This window comes from Homo sapiens, chromosome 1 (assembly GCF_000001405.40).
Source record: "Homo sapiens chromosome 1, GRCh38.p14 Primary Assembly".
NCBI lineage: Eukaryota > Metazoa > Chordata > Mammalia > Primates > Hominidae > Homo > Homo sapiens.
The window spans coordinates 186,040,042-186,054,908 of record NC_000001.11 but is presented as its reverse complement, the minus strand read 5'-3'; the positions used below and the strand labels follow the sequence as shown (position 1 = coordinate 186,054,908).

General features: G+C 35.5%; 1 protein-coding gene across 6 annotated transcripts in view; it reads right to left on the bottom strand.

The window, feature by feature from the left end:
* HMCN1 (hemicentin 1) overlaps positions 1-14,867 on the bottom strand; it is a 456,559-nt gene that overhangs the window by 136,041 nt on the left and 305,651 nt on the right. For all 6 annotated transcript variants that reach the window (NM_031935.3, XM_011510038.4, XM_024450118.2 and 3 more), the window contains 5 exons: positions 13,773-13,896; positions 9,046-9,221; positions 6,070-6,166; positions 1,835-1,957; positions 923-1,084 (listed from right to left, as the gene is read on the bottom strand). In NM_031935.3, the coding sequence (NP_114141.2) occupies positions 923-1,084; positions 1,835-1,957; positions 6,070-6,166; positions 9,046-9,221; positions 13,773-13,896 (682 nt within the window). The remainder of the gene's footprint in view (positions 1-922; positions 1,085-1,834; positions 1,958-6,069; positions 6,167-9,045; positions 9,222-13,772; positions 13,897-14,867) is intronic.

Here is a 14,867-nt window from a genome sequence, read left to right as displayed (position 1 = left end):
CCTACACAGAGGTCTGCTGGGGATTTTGGGGAAAATTTTTTGCTCTCCTAATAAAAGGGAAAGATACCAGCCCTTTCCCTTACTCTTGCCTTCCATGTGGAATTGATACCACAATAACAGCTACCATCTTGAGACCATGAAGGAGGGACCAGTAGAATGCCAGAGCTCCTATGCTGATACAATTAAGCTGCTGACCAGCTCCAGTGACCAATGCTAACCTCTGCTTTCTCATTATGTGAGAACACAAACTTTTACTTGGTTAAGCCACTGACAACCAGTTATTCTGTTACTTGAAGCTGAATTCACGTGTCACTGATTCTAGGAACAAAAATTAGATCAATTCTAATACATATGTGTGTGGGAAGAAAAGTAGGCCAGTGTCAGTAATCCAATGTCCTAGTGCCAGTCCTACCACACACAAGCCACGCGACCTTGTTCAACCAACAAAACCTCTTGGAGCTTAAATTTCCACATACACAAAATGGAGGCGACAGTTTTGTCTTATATAACAGCTCATGTGAAGATTAAATGAGTATATAACTATCTTAAGCACTCTAAGATCTTATACGAGTAAAATATTCTTTAAAATAAAATGTTTTTACATATTGTAAATATCCCCTATGTTAAAATGCTCCCCCTTCCCCCTCCACATGTCCACTATCTGTCCCCAACAAAATTACAGCCACATTGATGTGTCTGTCATTGGTGAGCTAATGCAGAGTGGACAGCTGTAATGCCGAATAACAGCCAGAAGGAAGTAATTGCTCTCCAGTTATGTCAGCACAATTTAAATGTGTGTGTCATATGATAGTTACAACCATACCATTTTGAATGAACATTAAAGATATTTTTAAAAGTAAATGAGAAGGATGAAAAGATTTAAGAGAACATTTTGCCAAAGCCTGGCTAATCAACAACTTACTGTAAACTTGCAGATTGTATTCTTTCTTTGCAGTCCCAGCAACATTCGACGCCACACATGAATAGAGTGCTGCATCAGACTTTTCAGCAATTGAAATTTGTAATTGCCTGCCCCCAGATAAAATTCTAACTCGCCCCATGGAATCAGTCAGCACTGGAGAGCCTACAAAGAAGTCCAAATGGCAGAATATGAGGCAGAAATGTAAAGCATTTTGTATACATTGCCAAGTATGACATTTGTTTATTCAGTTCAAGTATATAAAAGGCAAATGACACTGTAAAATAATCCTGCCCTAGTGTGTAAAATGAAGGAGCAGTAATATTTAAATGAACTGAAAATTTAAATGATTTTTCTGCCACTTAGTGGGCTTAAGGAGTTGTTGATAAATAAATTGAAAATCTGGTCAAACGCAGAATTCAGTCTTAATGTACATTGAAAACTGTCACAAACAGAAAAATGTTACTTTTTAATATCAACTTTTATTTTATATTCAGGAGGCACAAGTGCAGGTTTATTACGTAGATCTATTGTGTGATGCTGAGGTTTGGGGTATGACTGAACCAATCACCCAGGAAGTTTAAAACTCATTTTAAAGAAGAAAATATAGTTTCTGAATGACGGATTCTCGATGTTTATAGCTGCCCTATAATGTATTTGAGTAAAAAATAATCAATTAATGCAGAAAATTATTTTTTTCCAGGGAGGAGTTAAGAGTCTTAAAAATAAAAAATTTCAGCTGGGAAGTGTAGAAGTATCACATGTTGCACATTTAATATAAAGCAATTTTGCTGTCTAGCATTTAGTATGCAAACCCCAGGAAAATTTGTTTATAATCTAACACATTTATTAAACGAAATCAATATCCATCTTATATTTTCTTTAATTTTATAAATTTCAAGGATGAAAACTGACCTTTCTTCTTCCAGATGAGATTTGGGGGTGGAATACCACTTGATTCACACAACAGACTAATGAGATTCCCTTCAATGACTGTAAGTTGAGTAAGTTCATCAGAACCACCAATATTTGGGGGGACTAGAAAAAAATAAAAATATGATTTTTCCACTCATTTCATATAGAATTCTCATAACAGTTTACATGTAAGATAAAAGGCTTCTACTCAAATGACATAAGGAAGAAATTGTCATATGAGGTTGACATCAACATCAAATTAAAAGTCACCTGTAAGATGTAGCATAAATAGCTAATAGCAGACTTCCCATGTAAACAGATATAAATTTTTCAAAATATTCAGAATGGCATAAAAAGAAGCTACTTTATTATAACTTACAAAATATATTACCTCATATAGCTATTAGAAAAATGTATATTTGATGCAAGATATTTAGACACCTTGCATCAAAAAGCTAAAGTACCTACCAAGTTTAAACTTAGCCCAGTCACTGTTGCCTAGCTAGCTTTGATATCTCAAATAGTGAACAGAACTGGAAACATAAGGCATACAACATATACTAAAGAACAGAGGCAAGGGGTTTCATCTAAACAAAGGACATACTGCATATTTCAGATTGCACAGTCTGCTTCTCTACTGGCCTACAGCTTCTCTCTGGAACCTTCAAAGTGAATACTGACTACCCATGATTTTCTCAAAGGCGCTGGAGTCTGCAGATGCTGGCTGAACTCTCCTTAAGGACACTTCCTTGGCTGCAGGACTGTCAGCTGGTAGACGGCTTGTTCTTCCAAGATCCTGAGAGTTGAGGAGTGGGAGAATCCTCCTTTACCCCCAGTGTGGCTTCCAGTCATTGTTCAACCATCCCATGTAAAAGCCTCTATTCCTTTGAGGCTCATATAACCAATTTATTTCTCTCTCTCTCTCTCTCTCTTTTTACCATCTGTAAACCTGTCATTCTTCCTTTATTCACTGAAGAGTTTGATATGTGTTCTTACACTTTTCATACTAAGCCCTGCCATCATTCTGTATGAACCCAGCATCCACATGTATAACCAGTCTAAATACTCTGTCTACTCAGTTATTGATCTACCCATCCCATTTTCCATCAGAAGCCATACCATAGGCCTTCCCATCATCTAGAACATTTCTCCTGTAAGTTTATAAGTTTAGGCCTCTGACAACTTCTCTGTTCTTTTTGCTCTCACTTAATTATTCCCAATTCTCAAGTCAATTCCCATTGACTTAACTGAATCTCAAGTGCTTTCACTTCTCAGAAGTCCCCCTATCCAGCTGCCTATTCTTCTGTTTACCGACTTCTCTACTCAGCTTAGATTTCATAATCAATATTTGTCAATATTCTCAACTACCTTATACCTTTTGCCTTCTTATTTGTCAATACTCTTACTCTGGATGAGTCCTACAGTTTACTCTGTTTGTCACTGATACCACAAACTGAAAGTTCCAGAAGAAAATGACACAATTACATAGATTGCCACTACTATAAATTTATGATCTCCATTCTAAACTCTACCCTTCTCTACCCCCATGGCTTCCATTAATACAAATACTTGAAAAGCTATATCTGTAATGGAGACCCTCTCTGAGGTCTAGACTTTAATATCCAACTAACTACTTAACATCTCAAGTTGGTTGCCTTAGAAGCATTGTCAAACTTGACTTGTCCAAAACTGAACTCAACCCTCTTTGTTCCTTCTCTGAGGGAAAGACACAGACATCCCTCCTTTACCCTTCTTGTTTCCACACTTCTTAATCTAATCAACTTAATCATGTTGATTCAACTTATTAAATATGTCTGCTTTCTTCTAAAATACAGACCTGAGCATCCGGTCCTTCTTTAAATCCCTTTAGTTTATTCTATCACCTTTAGAATCAAATCTATACTTTTTAAATTGATTTAAGAGGCCTTCTTCAATATGCCTATTTTTACCTTTTTATCTACCATCTCCTCTCTCTCCTTGCATCACACTAGGCTCCAGAATGAATGATATTAAGCTCATTGAATACAGACAGTGTTCTCCAGGGCTTTGCATTGCTTTTACCCTCTTCACAGAGTTAATGCCTATTCATCCTTAAGGGCTCAGTTAAACGTGTCTCATATGCTTTTCTACATAACCACCTATGATAGCTCTTAGGAGGTTTAATTTTAATTTTGACTATTTAAAGATATTTCTCCACCAGCCAACTATAAGTTCCGTGAGAACAACATCATTGTCTTTCTCACTAATTGCTCTATGTCCACACATGGCATAGCGCCTAGAAGATGGAAGCATAATGTAAGTATTTTTTAAGTGAATCTATCTTTGATGTCTCAACTTTTTCCCTTATCATTCATTCTTATATCTACTGCATTCTGCTTTCCACTATTACACTGCTTTTCTTTAAGAGGTACTGGTCTGCATATTTGTAAAGTATGTTTTTTAGTTTATGACTAATTTGACTTTTCTGCAATATGTAATATTACTCATTCACCCATCCATTCATCCATATCAAACTTACTCATTGTTTTCTTCTGAGAACAACACTGTCGTTAGTTTCCATGGCACATTTTTTTTTACTGGGTTTTCCTCTGACCTCTTAGGCTCTTCCTTCTCAGTTTCTTATCTAGAGTCTCTTTTACTAGCTCTCTTCTTATATGGTACACCTGAGAGCCATCCTATCGCGTACTCTTCTGTATACATTCCTTTTACCTTCTCCAAGTGATTTCATTGCAACCTTATGTTTTTAACTCTTATTTCACCTAAATGATAAGTTTCTATTTCTGGTTGCAGGGAGGACAGCTTCACATAGTCCACAGGTACCTCAAATATTGCATATGAAAAAGGAATTCTTCACCTCAGTTTCTAATTGATCATCACTCCTAATTTTTCTTTTTTCTCTCTTTTTTTTCTCATCTTTACTTGATAACACTTAGCCTAGTGTCTTGTCCATATTGGGAACTAGATATAAATATTAAATAAATTATTAAATAAATGAACTAGATATAAATAATAAATATTTTTCCCATCTGAAAGAAATGAGGACAGAAGGGAAGGGAAAGTGGAGAGGGAAAATGGGTGAAAAGAGGCAGGAACAGAAGTTAATTACATATAAGTAGTATGTAATGAATATAAATTTACCATATAGTAACTTTTACTATTTAATAGTAAATTTTTACAGGGTGTATAATAGCATTTCTCATAACCTGCCTGAAGGATTTTTAAAAGATGATACTCATTTATTTATAAGTCATTTTCTACATCAGTGCATGCTTTCAAAATTTTAAAAAGTATTTGTTCTCCATTGGAACAAAGTTATTTCATCTAGTTTTATTTTTATTTAAAAATATGTGAATAAACTATAAATCATAGGTAAATTCAGCTTATAATCTCAATAATTAAAAAGTTTAAACAAATACAATCAAAATGAAGAGGGCTTATTAAGTTATAAGTTTTTTAAAGTATGTAAATTACAGGTGAATGTACTGGAAATAGGAATGCTTTTTAGCTGATAGCCACAGCTGAGGCAAAAGTTGTGACTATAAGAATTATCTTAATTAGTAACAAATGGTAAAATTTCAACTGAGAATAACTTTTCTCCCTGGTTATTATAGTAATCCCATCTCCCACCACACGAGTGAATAAGTTATAAATGAGTTTTTTAAAGTATGTGAAATACAGGTGAGTATACTGGAAATGGGAATGCTTTTTAGCTGATAGCCACAGCTGAGACTCAAGTTGTGACTATGTATGAGAATTACCTTAATTAGTAACAAATGGTAAAATTTCAACTTAGAATAGCTTTTCTCCCTGATTATCATAGTAATCCTATCTCCCACCACGCAAGCGCCCATGTTCTTTCTCTCACATACACACACACAGTTCACATATATAATTTGGCCTTTTGGCTTATTTTCTTTCCATTGACGAACCCACCAGTAGTTACTAGAGAAGGCCCAATCATTACGAGATGCTGGCTGTGGAAGACAAAGGGCACATTACTACTCAGGCAGATGAGGAGAATCCTTCAACATCTAAGTTACAAGAAAGTTCATCTAGAGTTACTCTCGAAGTAGTTATATGAACTGATACCCAGGACAGTTCAGCACCATGTAAATGTACTAATTGTTGTTCATCTACCTATTATAATCAGTTTTAGTTACATGGATGAATGTCATTTTAAGTGACACAAAAAACCACAGCTGCATTATTTGCTTTCAAGAGCTGATTACACTTACCCCAAATGTTGACATTGTAGTTTTTTTCAGTTTTTCCAGCAACATTTGTTGCTTCACAAGTGTAACGACCAGTGTCTTGAACCTGAGCATCTTCAATCTGAAAACAAAATCATCCTTTGAAATCACACTTTCTATTTCACTTGGGGTTTTTTAATTAATACTATTTGTGATCTATTTCTTATTTTTATTCTGAAGATTCACATACATATAAAAAATAGACAAAATAGCAATATAAATGGCTATATACCCATCACCCAGTTTCAACACAACAAGATTCAACCATTTTCATCTATGCCATACCTTATTTTAATCTGGTTTATATTAGGGGTTGAGGGTCTAGAACAGTCTTTTAAATACAATTCAGAAAAAACGAAAAGGTACAATTTCTGATAAAGTCATTTAAGACTTTAAAATATGAAATCCTTATACATCTAGGAAACTGTCCAGTAAAATAACAGCCTTATTCTTGAGACCAATAATATTACATTTATCTTTCTCCCATGCTAGGTTTGTAAGCTTCTTTAAGCTAAGTATTATATTACATTAGCCTCATTCTTCTACTACCCAGTTTGGTGCTTGGCAGATGAATTAGTATCAGTAAATATTTTTCATGTATTTATGTACAACTTGCATCAATGCTGATTCATCCATTGACCATCTGCAGTTATTACAACCCTTGTGCTAGGTAGTGTAGGTAGGAGATATAAAGAGATATAATGTCACATATGGTTTCTGATTTAAGTTTGCAATCCAGTTGAGAATATAAAGGATGTGAACATAAAAAAGAATTTAATAAATAATATTTAAGTAATAACACAAGATAATACAAAAGATATAACAAGCAGTATGGGACTTATTGCCAACTAAGTTTGCAATCAATAATTTCTAAAACATTCAATGATCACTGAAGTTAGAGTGATCATTTGAAGCACTTGGCTTAGCAGGGGTACACAGAAGCCAGTCAATAAACACTTATTAATCAATTGGTGTGAACAATAGAGCTGGAATTAGCTAAAAGCACACATGGAGAACCAAAGAATATTAGGCTTGAAAGAGGACATAAAATCCAACCTTCTCATTTTACAGATAAGGAAACTCAATCAATTAAAAGATCTTTGCTCAGAGTCACAAATTCGTGGCAGGCTCACTCAGATCTAGGGTTCCAAGTTCTTAAAGTCAGTATGCACAGGCCTGCATGTCTCATAGAAAGAGTTGGGGAGGGAATAATAGAGAGGAGGGATTAATATTTATTGAGCACCTAGTGTGTACCAGGCAAAACAAAATGGTAAGATTCTATTACTTGATTTTGTTAGAGATGTGTGTGAATGGTAGTACATAGGTAAGATACTTTTAACTGACTAATTAGGATTGTGTTCCATAAAAGTTTTCATTCCTCTGATCTTCTCCCTAAACCCCTCAACGTGACGAACTTCTGTACTCACTGAGATTTGCATTCATGCAATTGTATCCCTCTGTCATTTGGTCAGAGTTAAGGTTTGAGAACTTTACCAGATGCTTTCTAGAATGCTGGGCTCTGCCCCTGAGAATAGGCAATGCCTTTTCTTCTTCTTCTTTTTTCATGTGTAGTTCAATTAGCTCATCCCTCTTTCATTCAGCAGTGATTCTGGTCTTTTCTTTCTCACCCAGCTCCATTATTATAGAATCATAATTCCTAAGATCTCCATCCTTTGCCCGTAACATACTCCTTCATGCTCCCTTTCACTCACACCCATGCTTCTGTCTTCCTTGGGTAAGCTGCCCAGCTTACTGCCCGTCATCTATTTCTCAAGACTCTCATTGTTTATCAGTAATAAACATTCCTTTAGCAAGAGGCTATGTGGTGGTTAGTAGCATGGGTTCTGAAGCCATAGTCTGGGTGTTCTAATCCAATTTCTGTCTTTCAGTAACTGTGGGCAGATTACTTACCTGATCTTTTGATTTCTCTGTTGGGTTATTATGAGAGTGTTATAAACATTCGGTGGTCTTCTGTCCTCCTGAATCTGAATTCCTTAGGATGACTTTCAATGTCACACTGTATTTCATTCAAATCAACCTTTTCAACATTATTTCCAAACATTCACTTTGTTAAATTATCTGTTCCAGCCAAACTAGCTGACTTGCTTCCCTTGCTTTTTATCTCATCTACCGTTAAAACACTAGTCTTTCAACACTAATCCTGGCAACCAGAGCCTCACCTTTTGCCACCCCCTAAAATGTGTTATCTGTACCATCCAGTTGGTAATTGACTCAGACTTACAGTACTCATTGCATTTTTCAACTAAATTGTTAATTTGTTATGTATTTACATGAGACTGGAAGACATCAAGGACATGAAGAGTGTCATGCTCTTTTGCATTTTTTTTTTTGTTGTTTGAGACAGTCTTGCTCTGTCACCCAGGCTGGAGTGCAGTGGTGTGATCTTGGCTTACTGCAACCTCCACCTCCCGGGTTCAGGCAGTTCTCTTTCCTCAGTCTCCCAAGTAGCTGGGATTACCGGTGCATGTCACCACGTCAGGCTAATTTTTGTGTTTTTAGTAGAGACAGGGTTTCACCATGTTGGCTGGGCTGGTCTCGAACTCCTGACCTCAAGTGGTCCGCCCACCTTGGCCTCCCAAAATTTTGGGATCACAGGTGTGAGTCACCATGACTTTTTTGCATCTTTGTCCAGAGCACCTAAAATGGTCACTTGGTGATTGGCTGGAAGACTGAAGGTGAGGCACACCTTGGATTATTTCTATGATATTTTCCTGGAAGCATTTTTTTGGGATCATTTCTGGATATGGATGACAAATACTTAAATCTCACTAAACAAAAAAATTTTTAAATATTACAAACCTCATCAATAAAAGGGTTCCTAGAATTTTGTAAGAGAAAATTAGTCCAACACTTATAAAAGACAGTCACGCTAAATAGGGTAATACCAAAACCATGAACTTCTAATAACATAAGGTAAAATAAATGAATCCATATCCTTACCTTTAACACACTTCTATTTTCAGATATACTGAGGCCTGGTTTCTTCAGCAAGGGGTGGCCGTCTTTTAACCAAGTAAGAGTAGGTGGGGGAATAGCATCACTTTGACATAGTAATTCCACAGCTTGGCTAATGAGGACAGAGACATTCTGTTCTTCTCCCATAATATTTGGCGGAACTACATGAAAGATGGGTTTTCTTTCAGGATAAAACAGGCCAGCACACTGTTTACATTCATCAATTATCAGGACATATACTGAATACCTTTATTGGTTCTTTTAAAGATATAGGATCACAATCATTCTAACATCACTTTGCATCACTTGGTTCAAGTCCTAATAAATCACTAATTAATGTATTCTCGTTGAAAAATATTTCTCACTAACTTCTTATTTAAAAAACTTTTAGAACGGGAAGTTCTCATCAAGTGCCCAATTAAGAAACTTCTAGAACTAGATGTTACTGCTTAAGGTTTTCAAGATAACAAATCACTCATGAAATATTTTAGAAACAATAATAAGCTAAGAGTGAATACGCATTCAATATTTATTTGTAATTTTTGCAAAAGAAATAAATGTCATAGTCACAGAGGCAACATTAAAAAATAGTTGGAGAATATCATAGAGCTCATCCAGTCCCATCTCGCAGCGTGCAAAACATAAAATTGGTGTCAGATAATACCTTGTGCAAAATAATATGACTAATTGATGGTAAAGCTAGGAGCCTTCTGACTTGCAGTTTAGTGTTCTTTTTGGTTTTCCATGATGCTTTGTCAACTTTCTAAAGAACAAATCAATTCAATGACCAGCTGTACAACGTACTCACAATTACATAAGAAGAGGAATGAGTAGAAATTTTAATGAGATTAACATTAGGATTCCCTGGCTATATAAGTCTTGTTAGATGCTGAAATGTGTTTTCTGAAAAGTTTAAGGAATCTCTTTCCCTTGGGTGTATTAAAGAATAGAGTAAACAATCATTTATCTTAGATGGTTTAGGTACAGTCCTGCCAAGAATGAGAGGGTGGGCTCCATAACTTCTCAAGGACTCTTTCAGGCCTGTATGTATAATAATTCAGAAACACAAACTAATGATGAAATTGAGCCTGTTACACTCCAATAAAGCACAGAGGGGAATTTTCTTGGCCATTTTTCATGAAACCCCATCACTATGCAGGGCTGTAGAAAATTTGCCATATTTGTAGCATTTTTTTAGTTACAAAAAAAGGTTAAGTTGTACTAAAATGTTCTGGTAGAAACAAGATTTTTGTGGTAAAAATATTATTATAGTCTATCAGCCATTGTTTCAGGCTTGATACTTCACCAGCATGTGGCAAGATAATGAAGGCAATAGACTTTGACTACAGTAGTAGTATTGTGCCTCCGTAACCATGAGGTTTCTCTGTTACCATGTCTGCTACAGAGGGAAAGGGTATGAACCAAAGAGCACTTTCATGCACTGTTTTGGGGTGCAGGACTTATGTTAAACTCAAAGAAATTGATGCTAAAGGAAGAAACACACTGCACAATGGCTGAGATTGACCAATGGAGCATTTGTGCAGAGATTCATGATGTTCCTTCGTTCCTTCTGCTAAATTTAGTAGCACACACAGACAGCTGGCTCTCGATAAGGTTAAAGTAATCTGTGAGAAACAGAAAACACTGACATTATTTTCAATGTGTAACACATTCAATAAAAGATACATGATTATTCTGAGACTAAAACTACTATAAAAATAGCAAAGTGAGCACAATTAGTGCCACTTTCTTTCCTTTTTCTTTTTTGAGAAGAAGTTTTGCTCTTGTTGCCCAGGCTGGAGTGCAATGGCATGATCTCGGCTCACTGCAAACTTTGCCTCCCAGGTTCAAGCAATTCTTCTGTCTCAGCCTCCCAGGTAGCTGGGATTACAGGCATGTGCCACCACGCCTGGCTAATTTTTTTGTTGCTGTTGTATTTTTAGTGGAGACAGGGTTTCACCATGTTGGCCAGGCTGGTCTCAAACTCCTGACCTCAGGCGATCCACCCACCTCGGCCTCCCAAAGTGCTGGGATTATAGGCATGAGCCACTGCACCTGGCCTAATTAGTGCCACTTTCTAAAGATGCCATGAAAACAGATTCACAAGTCCTAGCACTCAGGAAGCCCAAAATAGAATAGCTGATTTCACAGCTTGGAAATAATTTTAGGTAAAGTTTGGCCTCATTGAATAAAAAAGAACCATAACTGTATAAAAATGTTTGTCTTAGATTATTTGTAGAATCTACAAAAGAGCATGAGTTCATTATGACTGCAGAAGTGAAAGTCGGAAGCAATTCAAGACTACAGAATGCTAATTCATTTCCAAATATATTTTCCTTCAGTTACTTTTTTTACATTAAATGAGTTGAATCAAGTTCAAAAGGAAACCAGATTTTTTAAATGAGAGGAAAAAATGCAAAAACAATGGAGTATTTGTTTAAGGGACAAAAATTGAAGCAAATCTAATTATAGCCAAGGATATATATTACCAAAACATGTATTTTTTTTTCTGTCCTGTCTCTCATTTCCAACTTTTTGTTTAGTCTGAGAAGAGAACAAGAGTTCTACCCTTTAGATCCTCAGCTTCCTAAGATATTATCCTTATTTTGCTTTGTGGTTATGTTGCTTAGGAAGGGATGTGTTCTGGACCTGTTTCTCATCCTAAACATTATGTTTGTTAAATTTAATTACTAAAATCAGAGTTGCCATAGGGTTGTCGTTGCTGGGAAGCTGAAGAATGTGTGATCTCCAGGAAAGTTGTCTGAGCTTAAGTTTAAAGAAAAGGTACTACATGAATCCAAATCTTTAAAAACTCAATTCTCTTGTTTCAATATCTCAGGGTATGGCAAAACATACTCTGAATTATACCAGGGAGAAAAATGTTAATGAACTACTCATAATTGTAGGAAAAGCTATTTTGCCTACTATCTACTTCCCCTATTCCACCCCCCAACAGCGTACCCCACAATGTAAATCTGAAGGTGATTTATCTCTGGGAATTAACATTCATTAGGCTCTAATTAGACACACATCACCAAGGTTACTACTACAAATATAAAAATATAATTTATGCAAATAATAATAATAGTGAATACAGATTGGAAACTGATTTTAGATTAAAAACCTGTTTTAATCTTACACTTTTTCAGCAGCTTGCTGCATGTATATTTCAATGGTTAAACATATATAAACATTCAAAAACATATATATCAGCTAGCCATTTGACCTTTATTTCAGAGAAAGATCCTGATTTTCAGCCTAAGAAAGTAGTATAGAAGTATCTTAGCAACTGATAAGGAACAGTGATGCATGTTTCTGTAATTCCTGGAAAATATCAACTCTTTTATCATCTCCCAGGTTCACCCTTGACGCTAGCCAGTGTAGAAATGTAAGGAGTCCATCTCAGATTTCTGTGGTGACTAAAACCCAGTCAATACCAACGTCATCCCTCTACTTGCTTCCTAATGACTGAAGAACTATTGTGTTACATACTTAGATTGATTGATGAATCAGTCTCAAAGGATATTTTAGAATAGAAACTTTCCAGTTCTTCATAAAGCATAAAAGCGGCTCAATTCAGGGAGGAAGTTAAAATTCCTGGGGTTGGGCATTATAGACCTATCTGTTACCTCAGACACCTAAGCAAATCTGGAGGCTGAATGTGAACTCGTGTCAATTGCAGGAGCAACAGAAAAGAAAGGGAACATAGAGAACCCTTTGCTAGTGTACCGATGCCAACTAAAACTTTTACTTTCATTAGATATGTATGATATCCATGTTGTAACAAGGGGTCTTTTTACTAAAAAATTATATAACAATATATGTTATTTGTGATCAATACATTTACATTGGCAAACTTATAAGAGAAGACAACATGGTCCACATTGTCTGGAGGTAAAAATTTTTAAAAAGGTAATGTATTTCAAAAAAGAATAAATTATTTGGAAGTGAGGTAGGACTTTAAGGAGAAGGCTTGCATTCTGCATTAAACAGAAACTCTTCAAGAGGTCATAAAAGAAATAATTTAATTATTCCAAGAACTAAGGAATATAATGCAAATAAACCACAGAAAAAAGTCTAAAAGAGTTCTGAATGTAAAGGTATACTGGAATGTGGGCTGAAAAGCTAATATATAAATGGAGATCAAGAGGCCCCAACTTTCTTCTGGGGCTCTTCTGTGATGGGATCGGGCATTCCCTTTTGTGAGCATTGTGAGCGGCATTGAGAGTGGGCAAAAACGTAAATTTTGCCTAAATTTATATTGAGTTTAACTTTTTGCTTCTCAAAGAGCCATTAATTCACATAGTATTGATCACAAATATGCTGATTACAAATAGTTAGAAAGTAATAAAATCATGGCTTTGAGTAGAATGAATGAAGAGAGCTACTTGAACAGATACTTGCTTCAGTGATGAGAAGATTATCTCTTCTAAATGGCAGAGCTGCTATCCAGTCATGGTTTTCAGAGTACTCTATAAAACCAACACCCTACATGCTGGATGTGTGCATTTTACTTTCTCAGAACTTTAAAAAAGGAAAATCATCCAAAGTCAGATATAAGGCAGAAAGAGAATTTGATTTGAATTGATCCTGTAATATCATTTCTAAGGTTCATTGTTCTTTATTGTCAACAACTTCCCTTAACTTTCTCAATGATTTTAGGACCCAAACATATCTCTACCAGAAGAGAATTAATTACTAAAATGTCTCACCATATACTCGGAGGTCAATGTCCCTTTGCTTTTCTCCAGCAGCATTCACTGCCACGCAGGTGTACCTTCCTGTGTCGCTGATTTGTGCACTGGTCAATGCTAGGATTCGACCACCAGAGAGAACCTATCAATGGTAAGAACGCTAAATAACCAATATGTCTCTGAGAATGGTAGGTGTAATAGATTTTTTCTCTTATTTTTTTGAGGCTTATCAGTTGACATTTGCCTTTTAGGAAGATTTTCCCTTGGACATTTTTAAGTAGGCAAACATCATATAATACCCTTTTCATCTTCTCAGTGGAAGGATGTTAAGAGGCTGGAATTAAATTTGGTAATGACTACTGAAAATAAGTCTTTACATACAGCATCAAATGAAAGTCAACTTTCATCCATACTCACTACAAAGACAGACAAAGATGCCAGGGGAGAAACATGAGTGAGAATAAATGCTAATTCTCTTTCTAATTTTTCTTTGGGTAAAAAGGTAAGACGCTAAAATTAACAACAAAGTAGTAGCCAAATTAATTAATAAGCTACCTTGATTATCCTTTATCCCATGGATTCAGTTGTATTTCTAAAATATTGACATTAACTCTGGATCTTCTATGATCCCAAATTTTGAAAGCATTAGATTTGCAAGAAAACCTGAAGAAGTATAATGTTAGGAATACTATGCTTTCTGTTAGGCAAGATAAAATTAAACTTTATATTAGGTATATACGCATTTCTATATTTTTAATTTTGACTCAATATAATGCATTTAAAATTTTTCTAGGACTCAAATTTTATTTCTCGTGATGTTTTAATTATATTTTTTCTTACTATATTACTTGATGTTTTTGTAGAAGTATATATGCTCTGTGTAGTCTCTGATTCATTACTATTTCAAGACATTTAAACCTAAAGTCTACCAGAAAATTCCTATTTTCTTATTAACATTTCTTTGTGTAAAGTATCTATTGTGGTAGCAGCAGAAAGTGGAGTGGGGCAGGTAGAAAACAACAAATATCCAAAACAAATGGTCAAAATATAACACCTAAAAGTAAGATAAGGGAACTCTTAGAAACAGTGAGCTTTTAATGAATTGTTTGGGGA